Source organism: Homo sapiens, chromosome 7 (assembly GCF_000001405.40).
Source record: "Homo sapiens chromosome 7, GRCh38.p14 Primary Assembly".
Taxonomy (NCBI): domain Eukaryota; kingdom Metazoa; phylum Chordata; class Mammalia; order Primates; family Hominidae; genus Homo; species Homo sapiens.
In genome coordinates, this window is record NC_000007.14 from 96,675,239 (window position 1) to 96,696,744 (window position 21,506).

Sequence of the window (21,506 nt, forward strand, 5' to 3'; positions counted from 1 at the left end):
ACTACAGAGAATCAAGAGGAATAATGAATTCATAGAATTGCATCTTGAGTATTTCACTATGAACTGTCACTTGATATTCCTTCCTTTACAGGCCATCAGTTTCGCCGTCACTTCTATGTATAGAGAAAAGGACATGCACTAAAACATTGGGTCAGGAAACTGGTCACTTAAATGCCGTTAGTTCTAACACTTAATGTCCCTATCTTTGGAGCAGTTTTGTATGGCAGCTACAACTAGATACCTTTAGGTGATATTAACAGCTAAGTATATAACAGACATTTACCATTTTATAGTTATCCAGCACCCAGTTCTCTCCACACATACACAGCTTCCTAATAACTCCCCAGTCTCTCCTTGGGGATAACTCAAATGGCGTGTGGTCTTAGTGGGAGGACACTAAGTGCCAGCTCTCACTGTCATTTCCTACTTCAGAAGCTGAGGAGCCTGCTCCTTCCTCCACCAGCTCCCTGTTATAGCCAGGGGGCCAGGCAATCAAATATCACTCTTGGGACTGTAAATCCTAAGTGAGTGATGCAAAGGAAGAGGACATGGACAGATGCCAAATCCTTTGCAGCAGCACCTGGGGTCCAGCTACTGAGTTAAAGCCTCAATAGACTTTAAGGTCCTGATGCCAGAGATGTCCTAGCTTCAGTTACTTTCTCAAGTTCCTCTTAATCTGTGAACTCCAATATTCTGCCAGTAACTTCTCATTTGGCATAACATATTTAGGGTTGGATTCTGTTGCAGGCAACCAAGAACTCACACCAGGGCTGTTATATACAGCTATGTAGGTTGTACTCTGTACAAGAGAATCCAGCAAAAGAAACCAGAGGCTGAAATCTAGCCTGAGCTCCATTTGCCAAATTCATGAGGCTAAATTATCCTGCAGTAAGGGGTGAAATTTTCCTGTTTACATAGAGGCATTGTTTAGGCTGGCAGTGGCCCTGCCCTTGACCCATACATCCCCATTTTCCAGTTGTGAAATAAAGACCTGGAGATTAAGTCATTGACAGTTTTATGATTACAGTAATGCAATGACATTGCACTGGGCTCTTCTGCTGCCTTTCTCTCTACCTATATATAGGTTGAATGATTGAACAACCTCTTTATTCCTGCCAGGAAAATGTGAAAGAAGGAATGTTCCTGCAACAATTCATCCTCCTATGATAAGGCTGACCACAGTCTGTTACCTATTATTTACCCACAATTATTAAAAGGGTTGAAATTTAAATGTAAAATATATGTATAAATATTTAATACTCCATGCTATGCTACAGTTTTTAATAGTTAACCCTTTACATTCATTAACAATGAAAGAAAAACAAGTAAAGGACTCAAGAACTTTCCATTAATTTCCTACAAGCTACATTTCTGCCAATTTTATTGAGAGATATCACGGAACGGTAAAGATGACAAATTTTGCTGTACAATGCTCTATTCCAACCTCTTCAATTTTCCCATGACTGTTTTACATTTCCCATATCTTTTTCTCTCATTTTACATCACAAATTTATACAGAGGATCTATGGGCTAGTATATACCATGCCTAGCATGTGAACAGCATTATTGTTAAGAAGGAAATTAGAGAGTCACCACACCTTCCATTAGGAATCTAACAGTTATGCTTCTTTTCCTTTACAGAGTTTCCTTTTACCATATTAAGTCCTCCAGTCTTCCTTTCATGTTACTTTAAGACACTGATCAAAATCTTTTGTTCCTACTTCCATTCCCCATAAAAGAAAATTAGATTTGTTTTCAGGCTTTAATCCTGCTAAGATAAAGCAAATCAGCCCTGTTTTTATTACTGTCCAGTCAGTTCCATCAATCACCGAAGGGAATCACTAAAAGCAATCAGCGAACAAGGTCAACAGCACTCAGCAGAGGGCCAGCACAATGGTACTTTAGCAGATCAAAATGAAGACTGGGAAAAGGATGACAGTGCTTCACAGCCCTAAGAGGCCCAGGACAGCTTCTCAGGAGTCGTCTCTAAATGGGGAGAAGATAATCGAGAGAAGGGAATTATCTTTATTGTGTAACAGGTCTCCCGACATCAAGCTTGTTAAGGTAACAAAGAGCTAAAAGGTTCAGTTGGTGGTTATCGTCATCTTTTCTTGGTACAGTGACTTAGGTTTTGGACTTTGAGACAAAGGCCTTAATTTCACAGATCTTGTTCTTCTCTAGCAGTTTGTGTTGTCACATATGATAAATAATTACAGAATCTCTCACAAAGAGATATAGATATCATTTAGGGTTAATTGGTTGCAAGCAACACAAGACAACTTTGATTAACTTAAGCAGAAAGGGGATTTATTGAAAGGAAGTGAGAGAGTTATTAGAATCCATCATGAGATTGAAGAGCTGTGCCTGGAGATAGGATCAAAGGTGCTCTGATGGGGAGAGGGTCTCAGAGCAGGAACTATTCAGTGGTCTGGGCTGAATGGACAGTTTTCCTCATCATTATTATCTCTTTTTAAGATAGAAAGTCCTCAATTGGCTTCACCAAGACGGCAGAAAAATGAAAGAGGGTGGGGAAGGGGAGTAGGGAAAGGAGATGATGGTATTAATTACCCATAAAAAATCTAGATGTTATTAGCAACCTAAATGACAATGTTTTCCCAGTAGCCAAGATAAAACCAATGTCCACTATGGTATTTAAAAAGAAGTTTTCACCCTAAAGTCCAGGAGCAATCTACTTAACTTGCATTAACAATCATCACATAAAGCACACATACGTTTTTCATATGTGAACTAACAGACTACTTTCAGTGAATACAATGCCTGACGCTTGGTAGCTGCTCAATAAATATTTGTTGAATGAATAAATTTCTTTTGCAATGTTATTTGTTCTCATCCTTTCTTTATGCCATTTATGTTTCCTAATATCTAGCAAATATTCCATATTCAAAATTGGTGAAATAGAACCTCTAAAAGAGAAATCTCAGTGCAGTGAGAAGAGTACCCAATTTGATTCATTTCTTGATTCTGCCCAATGTGACCTTGGGGACGGGTCACAATGGCTTTGAGGTTATTTCTTCATCTGTAAAATGAAGTGGTAGAGGTAGATGCTTTTTAAGCATCCATCCAATTCTATAAGTCTAACATCATGGTCACAAATATATAGATGACAGAGACTCAGAAAACTTAGGAAAAATGTTTATAATTTTCACAGTATGAAGTGGTTGTACCCTGAATCTGGACAGAAAGTAAAACCTAACTTACTTGGTAGTATTTAGGAGAAATTGCCAGTAATGTAGAACATCTAGATCACTGTTATCAAACTTTAAAAGAAAGGCAGCAGAATCAAGTTTTCAAATGAAATCGTATGCTGAATTCCAATGTCTAAAACAAATAAAAGTCAAACTATTCTGACTGAAACAAAAGAGGGTTGCCTAGAGCCTCATACTCACACCCTTTCCCACAATTTCCTGGGAACACCATTTGACATCACTCATTTAATTCCTGATTGACTATTCCTAAATTTTTCTGTACCTTGAAATAGTTTTAAAATGAGATATCAAGTTTAATTTGGATAAGAAAAATTAAGAAAAAAGCTTTACATGGAAAAATAAAAGTATATATGCTCTCTTTCAGAGTCAGTTGACTTAAAGACAATTTTATTAGTCTACAACAATAAATTTTAATTTGTAAAGCAAAATAAAATCTAGCAGCACTGTTTGATACAATAGTCTTGGTCTAGTCCCTACATTATGAACTAGTATTATATAGACTTGTATCAAATGGTGAAAACTTAGCTTCCAAAACGAGACTTATTTAACAAGTTAAATATAAAATATGAAGAAACTTCTTCAATATATAAATCAATAGCTTTAATTTTTTTAACTGTCTTACTTAAGAGGAATGATGTATATGTCCCTGAAACCAAAGTAATTTTGCATATGCCTTTTTTAATCACCAAAGAAGTAATTGTTGAAAGATAGTAAAAGACATAAACACACATTGTCATCTCTGTGGCTCATTGTAGTGGCCTTATTAGCTTTAGCAAAAAGAAGCAATTGTTCTTCTCATAAAATCAGTATCCTGTCCATTCCACTACTTTGAAATATCATCATCAAAATCATTAAGACACATCCTATTAACTTGGACCATGGATTTCTATACATAAAATACCAACCGGGAGTCTTTGTTTTTGAGTACGAGTTTTGAAAAATTAAAACATCTTTGTTAAATCTTTATTTATGAACCCTAACATAGACAAAAGCACATCATTTATACCTTAAATAAGGGATTAATCTTGGTGATCGATTTGTTGAAGTTATTGAGCTTTAATGATGCCATTATTTTTAATCAAAGCAAAAAGCTATGAAGATTTTTCTGAAAGACATTTCACCATAGGCAGCAATAAAAAAGTATATTTCTTAGTCATTAGTGATCTGATTGACCTCTTTTGCCAGGACATAAGGTTTAAATTGTCTAGATACAACCAATTAGATATGAAATGGCTTATTACACAGATTTGTGACTCACAATCAAGAAGAAAGGCAAAGCCCATCTCCCATTGTTATAAAAGGTCTCTACTGTTTCCTAATCTATGCTGATTCTGCCAATCATTCTTCTGATCTCTTGATTCAATGGTTTTAAGATTCACTTTATAGCAAATATTTAAGACACACCAAGTGATGTAGCAGATGTGCTTGGTGCCCTGCCCTTATTTCTTCATCATTTACCACTTCCACGCAGGAAAGCTCCACTTTCAGCTGCCAGCGACTGTAATTCTGTCTGAATACTTTCTGTGGTAGCCAGAGCCTACTCTGCCCACACATGGGTCATACCAGAAGATACTGGGGGATTTTCCTGAGTAACTCTCAACCAATGACTGACGAGTTGATAAATACTCTGACTCCCCTCCCCTAGGACAGGATAACTCTAAGATATGTTGTATATAGCCTCCTAGAGTTCCCAGGTGGAACTGAAGTCGAATTCCCTATGGTGTAACTTGCTAGATATACACTCTTTTTTAGCTTCTCTCTCTTTCCTGACTCACTTCCCCACTCCCCTAGTACTTCTGTAATAAAATACTCACATTTGAATCCTTATCTCTATTCTAAGTTGCTTCTGAGACAACCCACAGTAAGACAAGGGGATATAAACATGAATACAATGGGAGTTCTACTTTTAAGGAATACAGTCTATAACAGAAAACCATTAATAAACACAACCAACAACAAAAAGAGTAACTAAGAGGAGAAATACACAATGTTACATTGTAAACAGGGGTGTGCCGGCCCAGGCAAAGATGATAATCTAGAGTTTTAAATGTGTTGTGCACTACTGGAATGTTAGCTAATGGTTCTTCCTGTAACTCTAAATATTATCCTCATCAGTGAAAAGTGGCAAGACTTTCTCTAATAGTCACCTAGTCTAAGAAAGTCGTCTTACAAGGGTAACAAAGAGGGTAGGAGTATAAGCTTTCTTCAATTTCATGACAGCTAAAGAGGAATCAGAATAACATTATAGCGATTCTACCTGACCAGTGAATTAAAACTACGGTTAATATAAAATGGAATTTATCCTTGTATCAACCTTTTTGACAACCCATCAACCCTCAAGGCAAATATGTGGAGAGCAAAATGAAATCAATATTCTGGCCATTGTTTGTCATTAGTTTCTGACACACAAGGAGTTGGCTATTGCAATGCAACAGCAGTGAACAAAAAATCAGGCAGTATTGGAGAGCAATTTTTAGGAGGTCGTGTTGTAGAATAATCAAGTAGATACCTTAGCTTAAATGATCAGGGAAGGCCTGACTTAAGAGGATGAGGAGGGCAAGCATCCCAGGGAACAACTGGTGCAAAATCACCTAGCCTTTCCATGTTCAAGCAACTGCATGTAGTTTAATCACTTTTTGCTTGGGTGATATATCTTTGATTTACTCTTCAGAAGTGATCAAAATATGACAATACTGAAAATCAAGTGGTGTGTGTCAATAAGATTGGCAGGAGCCAGACTACATTGGGCTTTACAAGTAGTTTAGATTTTATGCTGCTTTTAAGAAGCACTGACAGCATTTGAGGAAAATGGTGACATGATCTAAATTTCAACAATGCGGTGTTTTTTCTAGAATAGATTATAGGGCAGAAAGAGTAGAAGTAGGGAGACTGGCTAGGTAATAATTGCAGTAAATCCTAATAAGCAACAGTGATAGTACTAATAATAGTAGTGGGAGTAGATAGATTCTTAATTTATCAGTTAAGCTGTTTCTGGGTACAAGTAACAAAACACCCAACCTAAGATTTCTTAAATAAGGACGTTTGGTTTTAGGTCTTACGTTTAAGTCTTTAATCCATCTTGAGTTAATTTTTGTGTAAGGTGTAAGGAAGGGATCCAGTTTCAGCTTTCTATGTATGGCTAGCCAGTTTTCCCAACACCATTTATTAAATAAGGAATCCTTTCCCCATTGCTTGTTTTTGTCAGGCTTGTCAAAGATCAGATGGTTGTAGATGTGTGGTGTTATTTCTGAGGCCTCTGTTCTGTTCCATTGGTTTACATATCTGTTTTGGTACCAGTACCATGCTGTTTTGGTTACTGTAGCCTTGTAGTATAGTTTGAAGCCAGGTAGTGTGATGCCTCCAGCTTTGTTCTTTTTGCTTAGGATTGTCTTGGCTATGCAGGCTCTTTTTTGGTTTCATATGAAATTTAAAGTAGGTTTTTCCAATTCTATGAAGAAAGTCAATGGTAGTTTGATGGGAACAGCATTGAATCTGTAAATTACTTTGGGCAGTATGGCCATTTTCACGATATTGATTCTTCCAATCTATGAGGATGGAATGTTTTTCCATTTGTTTGTGTCCTCTCTTATTTCCTTGAGCAGTGGTTTGTAGTTCTCCTTGAAGAGGTCCTTCACACCCCTTGTAAATTGTAGTCCTAGGTATTTTATTCTCTTTGTAGCAATTGTGAATGGGTGTTCACTCATGATTTCGCTCTCTTTTTGTCTGTTCTTGGTGTATAGGAATGCTTGTGATTTTTGCACATTGATTATGTATCCTGATACTTTGCTTAAGTTGCTTATCAGCTTAAGGAGATTTTGGGTTGAGACAATGGGGTTTTCTAAATATACAACCATGTCATCTACAAACAGAGACAATTTGACTTCCTCTCTTCCTATGTGAATACCCTTTATTTCTTTCTCTTGCCTGATTGCCCTGGCCAGAACTTCCAATACTACGTTGAATAGGAGTGGTGAGAGAGGTCATCCTTGTCTTGTACCGGTTTTCAAAGGGGATGCTTCCAGTTTTTGCCCATTCAGTATGACATTGGCTGTGGGTTTGTCATAAATAGCTCTTACTATTTTGAGACGTAAAACCATAAAAACCCTAAAAGAAAACCTAGGCGATAACATTCAGGACACAGGCATGAACAAAGGCTTCATGACTAAAACACCAAAGAAATGGCAACAAAAGCCAGAACTGACAAATGGGATCTAATCAAACCAAAGAGCTTCTGCACAGCAAAAGAAACTATCATCAGAGTGAACAGGTAACCTACAGAATGGGAGAAAATGTTTGCAATCTGTCCATCTGACAAAGGATACATTGTATCCTTTGTCTATCTTTGGATAGATAAAATATCCAGACTCTACAAAGAACTTAAACAAATTTACAAGAAAAAAACAAACAGCCCCATCAAGAAGTGGGCAAAGGATATGAACAAATACTTCTCAAAAGAAGACATTTATGCAGCCAACAAACATATGAAAAAGTGCTCTTTATCACTGGTCATTAGAGAAATGCAAATCAAAACCACAATGAGATACCACCTCATGCCAGTTAGAATGGCGATCATTAAAAAGTCAGGAAACAACAGATGCTGGAGAGGATGTAGAAATAGGAACGCTTTTACACTGTTGGTGGGAATGTAAATTAGTTCAAACATTGTGGAAGACAGTGTGGCGATTCCTCAAGGATATAGAACTAGAAATACTTGAAACAAGGATATAGAACTAGAAATACTAGAAAAGTGGGTGAATGATATGAACAGACACTTCTCAGAAGAAGACATTTATACAGCCAACAAACATATTTAAAAAAAGCTCATCATCACTAGTCATTAGAGAAATGTAAATCAAAACCACAGTGAGATACCATCTCATGCCAGTTTGAATGATGATCACTAAAAAGTCAGGAAACAACAGATGCCAGAGAGGATGTGGAGAAATAGGAACACTTTTACACTGTTGGTGGGACTGTAAATTAGTTCAACCATTGTGGAAGTCAGTGTGGCGATTCCTCAAGGATCTAGAACCAGAAATACCATTTGGCCCAGCAATCCCATTACTGGGTATATACCCAAAGGATTATAAATCATTCTATAAAGCCACATGCACACGTATGTTTATTGCAGCACTGTTCACAACAGCAAAGACTTGGAACCAACCCAAATGGCCATCAATGATAGACTGGATAAAGAAAATGTGGCACATATACACCATGGAATACTATGCAGCCATAAAAAGGATGAGTTTATGTCCTCTGCAGGGACATGGAGGAAGCTGGAAACCATCATTCTCAGCAAACTAACACAAGAACAGAAAACCAAACACCGCATGTTTTCACTCATAAGTGGAAGTTGAACAGTGAGAATACATGGACACAGGGAGGAGATCACACACTGGAGTCTGTCAGGGGGTGGCGGACTAGGGGAGGGATAGCATTAGGAGAAATACCTAATGTAGATGATGGGTTGATGGGTCAGCAAACCACAATGGCACATGTATACCTATGTAACAAACTTGCACATTCTGCACATGTAACTCAGAACTTAAAGTATAATTAAAAAAAATTAAAAATAAGGACGTTTGTAGGCTTGTTTTACAGGAGGCCTTGTCCTAGAGCAAGTTCAATGACATCATCAAAGAATCCTCTTCCAGACTTTCTAATCTTCACCCTCAAACTGCAATAGTTGTTATATGACTGTCACTAGCAATTGAGACTACATGCTCCCTTATTTATATTTGGAGGGAAAGGCTGGCTTTGTGTGCTATTTTATGAAGCAGGATTTTTCTCTGCCAGATGCTTCTAGCCCCACTTTTGATTCATTGCCCCAAATTTATTTAAAGCTGTCCATCCTTGTATCCAATCACTTGTACGGGGCACGGGATTACTAAGATTGGCTTAAGATGAAACACACCCCACCCTGAGCTGGGAATGGTGTTGGCTTGCCTTGTGAAAGAAGGCTTGGCCCATGTGAAAGAAAGATGGATATCTAACCGTTTGGGGGGCGGGGGAGGCAGGGGAGATGAGGATTCATTAGGAAAGGGGAAGGGAAGAATGGAAAAGGCAAGCACTGTACTAACTACATGAAATATGCATTTGAGGCAGAGTTGATAGGGCTCACCAATGGATTGGATATTGGGAGAACAGAAGATTCAATAAGTTTCTATATTTTTGGCTTAAACAATTGGGTTGAATGTGGGTCTATTTACTGAGGTGGGGAAGACTGGAGGAAAGATCAGGTTTGAGAAGGATAATGAAGGGTTCTCTTCTCATCAAGTTAATTTTAACTCAGACATGGAGAGGTAATCAAGTTGTTAGTTGAATATATGAGATTAGAGTTTCAGGGAGAGGTCAAAACAGGAGATTTGGAATCATACATGTGGAATTGGTTTAAAAGCAACTGACACTGGTGAGATTACTAAAGAGAACATATGGATACAGCAAGAAGTAAACTCAGGACACTTAAAGGCAGAGTGCAATAGGAGCCATTAAGGTAGCTGGAAAATCCAAGGCCAGTCCCCCAGCATCATGTGTATGGGTGGAATGAGGGTGGTGCTAATTGTCAGCTCTCTGCCAAGTGGGTGGGATGTGTTACCTCTCTCAAAATGGGAAGTGTGGAACAGGAAGGATATAAATGTTTAAAAATATACAGTGCAGACGACAACATGCTGTAGAAAGCATTATTAATATAACATTCAATCTTTCAAAAGGGACTTGGCTCATTATGATAGTCCTCTAAACTTTTAGTGGGAATAGGATGGACATGCCATCCCCTACAGCAATTCTATGCCAAGGCCTAATGAAAAATGCTGACCATTATTACATCTACAATTTCATTTCAAACAGAACTGAATTTTGGAAAATAATTATGAAAAATTATAGGGGAAAAAAGGGAGTCATTGCTAACAGAAACATTTATGTCTGTATCAATAAAAACTTCTACCATGGAGTAAATTTGCAGCAAACTTCATTTTTTCTGTGTAGCTACTCAACTAAAATTTAAGGAGCATTTATGTAAGACTATATTAAGTGCTGTTGAAAGAGAAACCCTAAGTTGTGCAGAATAGTCCCTTCCATTGAAGACGTTTTTTGTTTCGTTTTGTTTGGAACCACTTCCTGAGTGACTATGGGCAAATTATTCAGCATCTTGGTGCTTTTCTTCATATATGAAATGTACATGATAACATTACCTATCTCAGGGTTGTTGTGAAGATTAACACATATAAATAGCTGAGAACAACGTCTGGTACATAGTAAGCATCAGTTATTAAGGGGAGGTAAGGCAACTCCCATATAAGTGGTAGCATGGCTCAGTAAAAAAAAAAAAAAAAAAATTGATTGATTACCACCACTATATTATCACATGCTAATCTTCAGCTCAGCCCTGCAGGGATTCTTTCCATTTTATAGAACAGGAAAACTGTTAATAGGCTGTTCTGAAACTTAACACACAACTAATAAGTGGTCTAATTATGAGTCAAACCTTGAAGTAACATCAGAACTCATGCACTTTCCAAAATATCTGCAAGAAACCCAAGAGTCCGGAAACCTAGATTCTAGCTCTGTATATGCCACCTATTAGCTGTTGCAATCCTGGGCCCTTTTACTTCCTAACTTACTCTGAGACTGTTTTCTATTTGACAAAATTGTTTACAATAAACAGGCCTCTCCTCCCTGCTTCACAGGGTGGGTCACTGTGAAGGTCAAATGAGAGAAATCTACAAATTGTAAAATTTCAAATAATAATTTTTTTCATCTGCCTGACTAATCTCCTTTCCTACTTCAGATGTGTTTTTATCATCCTGATGTCAAATACCAATTTTCGGGTACCCAATCCTTAACAACTACTACCTAAATTTTGATATTTAATTAAGGACAAAACACTGGATAACTACAAATAACCCATTAAAGCCTCTGCTCAACTCCTATGAGGTTTCAAAATTATACCTCAATAATTTAAAATCATCACATTAAGTGGCCATCATTCAGGCCATCACTTAATACTGTCAGTAATCTGACACTGTTAGGGTGACCACATCCTGTAACCACAGACCAAAATATTGAGAAAATGCACATCAAAATACTTCTTAGCATGTTACAACATCAACATAGCTGCCTGTGCTTCATTATATTTATAAAAATATCACTTACCTTATACAAAAATTAATTCAAGATGGATTAAAGACTTAAATATTAGACCTAAAACCATAAAAACCCTAGAAGAAAACCTAGGCATTAACATTCAGGACATAGGCATGGGCAAGGACTTCATGTCTAAAACACCAAAAGCAATGGCAACAAAAGCCAAAATTGACAAATGGGATCTAATTAAACTAAAGAGCTTCTGCACAGCAAAACAAACTACCATCACAGTGAACAGGCAACCTACAGAATGGGAGAAAATTTTTGCAACCTACTCATCTGACAAAGGGCTAATATCCAGAATCTACAATGAACTCAAACAAATTTACAAGAAAAAAACAAACCCCATCAAAAAGTGGGTGAAGGATATGAACAGACACTTCTCAAAAGAAGACATTTATGCAGCCAAAAGACACACGAAAAAATGCTCATCATCACTAGCCATCAGAAAAACGCAAATCAAAACCACAATGAGATACCATCTCACACCAGTTAGAATGGCAATCATTAAAAAGTCAGGAAACAACAGGTGCTGGAGAGGATGTGGAGAAACAGGAACACTTTTACACTGTTGGTGGGACGGTAAACTAGTTCAACCATTGTGGAAGTCAGTGTGGCGATTCCTCAGGGATCTAGAACTAGAAATACCATTTGACCCAGCCATCCCATTACTGGGTATAGACCCAAAGGACTATAAATTATGCTGCTATAAAGACACATGCACACGTATGTTTATTGCAGCACTATTCACAATAGCAAAGACTTGGAACCAACCCAAATGTCCAGCGATAGACTGGATTAAGAAAACGTGGCACATATACACCATGGAATACTATGCAGCCATAAAAAATGATGAGTTCATGTCCTTTGTAGGGACATGGATGAAATTGGAAATCATCATTCTCAGTAAACTATCGCAAGGACAAAAAACCAAACACCGCATGTTCTCACTCATAGATGGGAATTGAACAATGAGAACACATGGACACAGGAAGGGGAACATCACACTCTGGGGACTGTTGTGGGGTGGGGAGAGGGGGGAGGGATAGCATTAAGAGATATACCTAATGCTAAATGACGAGTTAATGGGTGCAGCACACCAGCATGGCACATGTATACATATGTAACTAACCTGCACATTGTGCACATGTACCCTAAAACTTAAAGTATAATAATAATTTAAAAAAAAAGAAAAAAAGTATCACTTATCCATTCAAAACTTTTATACTTTCCAAAGTTCTTTGGTGTTCCTTATTCCATTTGATCATCTAGCAGTTCCGTTAGGCAGGCAAGGTAGGTTTATGCTTGTCTTAAAAACAGAAACATATTTATGCTCAAAATCATTTTGAAGTATAACTTGTATTTCAGGCCACCAACCCCTATTTTGGTATCTGCACTGCATTGTTACATAAATTTTACATTTGAAATTACTCAACACTACAGATTGATTGTAGTTCTTAGTAACAACATTTACATTTGAAAATATTCCTAAAAAATACCCCGTACATTTAAGTCATCACAAAGAATCCTTTACAAACCAAATTAAATCTCCCATTCACAAAAGTGATGTGGCAACAGCTATCACTCTGTGAAAACTCAGTTGTACTAAATGAGCCTGCTATGTAGTACCTGAAAATATGCACTTGTTGATAAAGTATCTTGAGCCCACTTCCTCAATTTTAATAGAAGACACCATTCTTACTGTGATTAAACTACTTTGGACTTTAAGTACCAATAATACGCTAACAACCATTAATAATATTATTAATGGCTCAGGAACTAAGTAAATTACAGCAATTTAAAATGATTAATATTTTTAAAACACAGGTTTTGAAAGGTCACCTTATAAATGTCAGCAAATGTTGCCTAAGCTATCAAAATACAGAAGAGATTAAGGTTCAATGTGATGTAAAAGAAATTCCTTATAAAATAGAAGTAACAATTAATTGATGTGGTTTAAGAAAAGTACTGAATTGGGAATCAGGTGAAATCTACTCCAGATCATTTAACCTGAGCCTCACTCAGTTAACATTAAAAAAAAAAAAGAAAATTTCATAATATGAAATTTTACTATCTATATATAATAAGGTTTTGGAAAATCATGACAAGAAAATTGATTAGAAGCAAAAGATTAAGACTTCTGAACCAAACCAAGATTATATCAAAACATTTATTTTTTGTGTTACAAAAACACAAATAAATCCAAGCAGATAATGAAATAAACACATTTTTTTAGTGTCCCATCCTGGGTTCTCTGCCCTAGAATGTATTAAGCAGGTCAAGTTTAGGTTACTTCAACACTTCTTCTGGATGCTATGAAGTCTCCATCTTATAACCATGTTTCTCTAGTTCAGCTCTAAGATAAAACAGAAAGAACATCACTAGGTATTCTTTATAATAAACATTCTTTTAGAAACAATACAATAAATAAACAAATAAATGAGCTATGCCTGAGACATCAATTTACAATACCACTGAATAGTTTTACTTTTGTCTCTGAAAAAAAAACATAAGAAAATTGGATATGAGTCAATATAATACTATAAAATTTTGTTTTTCCCATTATTTAACTTGTATTTTATCTTCCTTAATTTTCTTATAAGTCTATTTGTGGAAGAAATGTGAGGGACTTACTGCTATCCTTCAAATACTTTCCAAATGCTATATGAATGTTCTGTTCCTAATAAATATTTAAACATAAGTTTTGAGACTCATTAACCTCAGGCAAAGTACACATCACTATCAAACCTTTAGGGATTTTACAATGATCATAACAGGTATTACTATATTACTGTTGTATATGCAGAAAGAATAAACAGATTGCTTTCCATATTGACATATATGTATTGCTCTAACCTTATTTGCCACAATTCAAAGTTTATGACAAAATTAGTAGATGGCTAATCCATGATAAAACACTGAGTAAACTTAAAGTATGATTAATATGCTTTACATCATTACATCCAATAAGATAGACATTTGTTCTCAAGTAAATTTGGCTTAGACACCACTACACTATTCCAATGCAAACACATGACCGGAATAATGTATAGTATTTAGCATTCATTTCTCAAAACTCCTTTGCTTTCCTAAAATTTTTAGTTATTTAGAATACAAATAGTGAGCTAATTTCCATAAATTATATCAAGGCCACAGATTGTTCAAATGAATCATCCTTGTCTTCTGCTATGGGGTGGTGGTATAAACCCTGGATTAGGAGTCAAGACTCCAGTGCAAGACTCTGACTCTGGCCCTTCCTTTGCTAACTAATTTGCTTCCTTTGGGCCCTTCCCCTGCCCCTCAGGAAACTGGAGATTATAGTATCTGCCCTTCATTTATAACAACTTATCTCCATTGTTTTGAGAGCTAAATGAGAGAAAGTTATACAAATGTAATGTAGTATACATTAAAATAAGAGTCAAGGCTGAAAGGAAAAGCTAAAAGATTCTGATGATCACAGAAAACTCAAATGTTTCATACAAAAACTCTTGCTGCCAATCTTGAGGGAATGTGGTAACTGTCTTTGAATTTTATCTCATGTTAAAATTTTATAATTTATTTAAAATAAAAGTAATTTTACAACTTTCTTAAACCTTAGTTTTCTACTCTGTAGAATATTCACTTTAACAGCAGCAACAAAAACAATGAACAAAAAAACCCCAAAGTTCAACCTACAATTTAAGTAACAAGTATACCAAATCTGTCCTTCAGGTTTGTGTCTATTGGCTTTCCTAATGGGAGGTGGCTGGTCACTAACTGCATGTATAAATTGTTTACAATCACAAACAAGATGATGAAATGCTCTTCTATCAGCTAAATTCTTAGAAAAGATGAAAAATTCTTTGCTAGAATTTAAAAAACCAAAAGAAAAAAATTGAGGCCACCAAGTACAAAACAAAAACACTAATAATCATGAGGCTGCTGAGTGGAAAAATCAACAAAGACAAAAATAGAAAACCTCAGCACAACTGTTAATATCATACGACATACACAGTGAACATACACTATCTGAAACGAAAACAGCAGCAGTCTTTGTGCAACAAAACAAGAAAAAAGACTAATGGCCACTAGTAGGTTTGAAAAGTCCTCTTACTATCCAAGAAACTACTCAGCTTTATGACAATGGCTATATCTGATTTGGTAAATCAGGAACTATACTGGATTTTTTTGTTGTTGTTGAGATGGAGTCTCGCTCTGTTGCCCAGGCTGGAGTGCAGTGGTGCCATCTCGGCTCACTGCAAGCTCCACCTCCCAGGTTTATGCCATTGTCCTGCCTCAGCCTCCCTAGTAGCTGGGACTACAGGCGCCCGCCACCAGGCCCAGCTAATTTTTTTGTATTTTTAGTAGAGACGGGGTTTCAACATGTTAGCCAGGATGGTCTCGATCTCCTGACCTCGTGATCCACCGGCCTCGGCCTCCCAAAGTGCTGGGGTTACAGGTGTGAGCCACTGCGCCTGGCCTATACTGGCTTCTTAGAGTTTTTATGTAAGACGTGAAATAGGGTTGAGAAAAATCATACTACTACCTATTTCTCTTAATACATAAACAAATGATATCAGAAGCTGCAAAATCAGAATGACTTTGAGTTACCTGGAAGAACAAAGTGGCCTTATTCTTTCTACTTCTGTTAAAGGTAATTACACGGAAAGAGAAAGACGAATGTGGAAAGTGGGGGGCCTGCGACATGGACAGTTTTTATTTAACACACACACACCACAGTCTAAGCACTCTACACATGTTAAATCACTTAAACGTTATAATAACTCTAGCAGTAAAGCACTAATTATCATCTGAGTTTTATGTGTGACAAAAGTAGGTCACAGAAAGGCTAAGTGAGTTGCCCAAGGTTCATATGGCTAAATAGGAGGCAGATCTGGGGTTGGAACCCCAGCAATCTGATTCACACTAGAGTCTGAGATGCCTCTCCACTGTTAAATAGGATTAGGACCAAATAACATCAGACAACAGTAAACTCCATTCTTTACCATGACTTATGATATTATGTTAAGGGTTTCCATGTACTTTACAGAAAAGACTAGGAAGAATAACTTTGTGTGAGTCTTTTAATCAAGACAAATTTTTTAAAGCAAGGATTGTGCGAGGCTGTTTTATTCAATATGGTAGTCATATGTGGCTATTTTAATTGAATAAAACAAAAAATTCAGTCCCTTAGCTGTGCTAGCCACATTTCATGTGCTTAGTAGCCAAATGTAACTGATTGCTTCTATACAGCAGCTTCTCAAACATTTCCATCACTACAGCAAGTTCTATTTGACACCACTGGCAATGTGGCAACAATCTTAGTGAAGAAAGAACTCATGACTCAAATGGGGAAATAAAAAGAAAAATCTTATTCACTAATGGAGGCATCAAGATTTATATACCTCAGGCAAAAAACAACAACAGTGAAAAAACAACAAAAATAGATTTATATACCTATAGAAATCCACAAACCTAAAGGCAGAAACACAAGAGTACATAATGGCACTGTGGGGGTGTATTATAAAAACAGTAAGCCACAAATATATAATGTTCTATTTCTAAAGCAATAAAAAGGCAACATGTAATGATGTGAAATCTAATTATCAATACATTTACTACTGAAAGTTTCTTGGTAAAAATTATAGTATTCAACAATGTATCAATCAGTTTTAAGAGAAAAGTGCTAATGAAAGACATAAAAGAAACAAAACTTCAAAGAAATTTGACTATTTTGAATGTCAAAGGAAGAAAACTTGTTTAGCCTCAATTTCAAAATGTCAAAAACATATCAGGAAGAAAACTCTGACACGTGATTAAAAACACAGAGTAGAGATCAACAGCATTTGGAAGACCTGAAAATAAATAGTCTAATAGCATAATGATGCCAAGGCGGAACAAAAGGGAATGTATATTTTTCAAAAGCTAGTAGGGTGTTCTCTAATGTGGCTCATTTTTTGAAGGACATAAAACAAAGACAGATATAAAAAGAAAGGGCATGAGCTTGTACACATAGAATTAATCTGATCCTCGAAATAAACTGAAATCTGTAAAAAGAACAGAAGGGGCTTCTAAGAGCCATATACTGATCATGAAGAATGAGAAAGAGCAGGTACAATGCTTGGAACAGATGATGTAACATTAACAGATTTTAGAGAAAAAGCAGGATTATTGTTCAATAGCTATCATTTTTATCTTGTCCATAAAACTATAAAAGGAAAAACAACATAATTAAGACAAAATTGAAAACTAAGACAGGTAAGATAACTGCATTAAGGCAGTTTAAAATCTCAAGGCTCTGGATAATTACATCTCAGGGTACTAGAAGAACCAAAAGATGTAGTCAAAAATCAGTCAGCAATATTTGAGACACGGAAATGAAAAACTGTAGAAGTATCAGTATAACAGTGAAAGGTAAATTATACTATTTCTAAAAATGAGAAAAAAAGTAGATAGGTAAAATTATTATCAGTCTCCAGCAAAATTCTAAGTCTTTATAGAGCCAATAAAAAAAAATGCAGTGTAGGAGCTGGTGCTACTGCATTACTATTAGAAATCAAAGTTTAAAAATTTATTATAAACTATTTCACTTTCTGTTTGAACAAGCTTACTAGACTAGTAAATTAGAAGACTGGAATACATATATCTTCTATATCTTTACTTGAGCAAAGTATATGACAGTCTATTTATTCTTGTAGCCAAGACAAATAAATACAGCCTGAATCAAAATAAAATTAGGAGGGAAAAAAGTCTCTTCAACAAATGGTGCTGGAAAGACTAGACATCTATATGCAGAAGAATGAGCTGAAGCCCTATTTCATAACATATACAAAAATTAACCCAAAGCAAAGACTGACATGTAAGAGCAAAAACTATAAAGCTCTTAGAAGAAAACAAAGATAAATCTTCATTACATTGAATTTGCCAATGAATTCTTAAATATGACACCAAAAGCACAAATAACAAAAGAAAAAATAGATTAAAATACGGCTATAATTTAAAACAAAAAAGAAAAATAAGTTTTGGCAAGGATGTGGAGAGACTGAAACCTTCACACCCTGCTAGTACGAACGCTAGTGAGAACATAAATTGTTCAACTGCTGTAGAAAACAGCTTGGCAGCTCCTCAAAAAGTTAAATATAGAATTAACGTATGACCCAACAATTCCACTTGTGTGTGTGTGTGTGTGTGTGTGTGTGTGTATATATATATATATAAAATTTCTTTTCAAAAGAATTGAAAACAGGTACTCAAATATATGTACACGTACGTTCATAGCAGCACTATCCACAATAGCTAAAAGGTGGAAACAGTCTGAATGTCCATCAACTGATGAATGTATAAAACGTGGCATATCCATATAGTATTATTATAAATTGGAATATACAATATGGAACATGTATATGAATATTATTCAGCCATAAAAAGGAATGAAGTACTGATGCATGGTACAACATGAATGAACCTTGAAAACATTATGCTAAGTGAAAAAAGGTACGCACGCAAGGTCACAATATTGTATGATTTCATTTATATGAAGCTTCCAAAACAGGCAAATACTTAGAGATAGAAAGCAGATCAGCAGCGGCCAGGGATTAGGGCAAGAAAGAACGTGGAATGACTGCTTAACAAGTACTGTGTTTCCTTTTGGGATGCTGAAAATACTGGAACTAAATAGAGATGATGGTTGCACAATATTGAGGATGTACTAGAAGCCACTGAACTGTACACTTTCAAATGCTTAATTTTATGTTACATGAATTTTACCTCAATAAATAAATGAAATCAGGTAGATTTATACATGAATATGACACAGTACATTCTCACAACCCCAATCTCCATTCCAGTTTGAGAATCACCAATCTATTAGGTCCCAGCACTCTATGATTCTAATTTCTGCTGAGTTATTTGATATTGGTAGAAAATTAACATTGACAGAATTAAATTCCTAAGGATAAGAAATAGCAAATATGCTTCTATTTTACTACCTTTGTAAAAAGACCAGAAAGAATAAAAGTTGTATGCAATTACACAAAGTGTTCATGTTTAGAATCACAGGAGATGAAGACAATATGTCTTACTTTACACAGTTCAAAAACCTATTTCAAAGATTAAGTAGCTTTTAAGAGGTTAATCATCTATGTAAATTACATATTCCATGCTTATAATTAATACTGAACTACAATAAAAATCTGGCTTAAAACTTACCGTAACTGATTAGAGAAGTCATCCTCTACATTGTCATCATCCCAATTATCCTCCCAGACATGTGCATCTTCATCTTCATCTAAGCCAGCCCAGTCTAAAAATAGAAACAGATGCTGTCTAAATATTTCTCATACATTATTTCCACAATTACAAAAACTTTGAAAAGCTTGCTACTGAACACTCACAATTCAAAAACAGCTAAAACCATATCTATGAAAAATGGTATCTTCCTTAAATCTGAGCTTATGCTGTCTAGTTCTCTCAATTCTTGAGTTTGCAGATAACCTAAAACAGAAGTTAATACAAAAAATTCTACTTGCCAAGAAACTTACAATTTCAGGAGGATATTTACTTTACTGATTTTTCTTTGAACTCATTTTTAGAAGGTCGACTTCACAATCTTTCAAAACACAACACCAACAACCCTAAAGCAAGTTGAATGGCAGGAAGATACCAGTGTGAAATTCAAAACTGCAAAACGTAAGGATAACTTATATACAAATATTTAAAAGTAGACCAAACTGTAAGCCACCACTAGTATCTGCCTAATACAACTGATACAAAATTTATATTTTTAAAGGAAGAATAAACATAAATATGCATAAAGAAGAATATTGTAGTTTTTAGTTTTCTAGATTTTCTTCCTCCCTTTGGTAGTGGTAGAGGGGAGGTTTAGATTGAGATTTCAGCTTTTGTTTAGAATGGTGAGAAAGTACGTACGTATTACCACTATTCTCTAACCTCAAATCTCAAGCTTTAAATATGCTATGTGGGTTGAGCCTGGAAATAGAAATTATCTATTTGATAGTTATTTTAAGGAGTCTTTATAAAGATGTCTAATGGAGTTTTATGTTACAAAAAAATAATTTAAATAAAGACTAGATACTATGTTCTTGAGTAAAGGGGGTGACATAACTCAAAATCACAACAGAACTGTTTCAAGGTTCTAAGACAACAAGCAGATTCTACTCAGCTTGAACCACTTCCAAATAACCAGCTTCCTAAACTGTTAAGTAGGTCGCTTCCATCTGCATTGGTCCCTAAAAAGGAAATAATCATGTGTCAAAAGATTCAAGCCAGAAATATAAAATAATATTTTACACTTTTCTGCTAACCTTGTAAGTCTTTGAAAAATACTGTAGAGCCTTATCTTTTAAAGCAACTATCTTTTAAGAAACAAAATTTTTCATCTAATTATGATTTGATTCAAAATGTTATTTCAATAGTTATTAAGTGATGTCTTCAAGTTGACTTTACTTCTTTTAACTTAGAGAGGGGAAAAATATTTAAGAATGGTACAATTTTTTTAGTTTATAAAGTTAAACTCTGATGATCATTTACAACAAAGATAAAGCATCTCTCCCTCGTCTAATAACCATCTCACCCTATTTTAATGGCTGGGAAAGGAAAGGAAAAAGTAGAGATAAAGTCCCAGGAAAAAGGAACTGGCTCATGAAGAGGGGGAAAAAGAATACTGTGAGCAACATTTTAGGTAGAACATATAAAAAAGATTCATAACAATACCTCTATAGTTCTTTCGTATTACTATACAGTACTTCATAGTTATGACACTACTGAGTAAACAAAGACGAAAGAGCTGGCCAAATTCTTCGTTAATTATCTGATAAATCTAGATAAACTTTGTAGCCTTAATACCATTATCTTAAGCAGTAAGAAGCACTAATGTCTACGTAATAGCATACCACCCTTCCAATTATCATAGATGAGGAATCTGAGAAATAACCTTTCTATTACAACTTATTAAGCAGTTAAAATTAATATGAGCACTGTTAAGAAAAATAGTGCTAACACTGACAAACCAGAATCTATTTTGGATGGATATTTTAAACAGTGTATTAACCTGGATTATGTACTTAACTATATTACATAAAAAGCTTATGTGATAGGGTATAATGCCCCAAAATAGTATGTCCAACACTTACAAAT

The 21,506-nt window shown here is 35.6% G+C and overlaps 1 protein-coding gene across 17 annotated transcripts in view, besides 1 other annotated feature; it reads right to left on the reverse strand.

The window, feature by feature from the left end:
• The window catches only part of SEM1 (SEM1 26S proteasome subunit), a 228,221-nt gene that overhangs the window by 193,613 nt on the left and 13,102 nt on the right, over positions 1-21,506 (reverse strand). For 13 of the 17 annotated variants that reach the window (NR_163951.1, NR_163953.1, NR_163950.1 and 10 more), the window contains exon 2: positions 19,560-19,653. The exons of 2 other annotated variants lie outside the window; for them this stretch is intronic. Coding sequence is in view for 8 of the 15 variants with exons in the window: in NM_001393902.1 (NP_001380831.1) it covers positions 19,560-19,653 (94 nt within the window). In the remaining 7 variants the exon portion in view is untranslated. Of the gene's footprint in view, positions 1-13,523; positions 13,729-19,559; positions 19,654-21,506 lie in introns of those variants that run through there. 2 more of the 17 variants (NM_006304.2, NM_001393906.1) reach the window with 2 other exon arrangements.
• Positions 819-1,113: a silencer, noted in NCBI's record as "tiled region #6945; K562 Repressive non-DNase unmatched - State 23:Low". NCBI's record gives its function as "represses a minimal TATA promoter and a strong SV40 promoter by Sharpr-MPRA in K562 cells {active_cell/tissue: K562}" and the evidence as "EXISTENCE:reporter gene assay evidence [ECO:0000049][PMID:27701403]".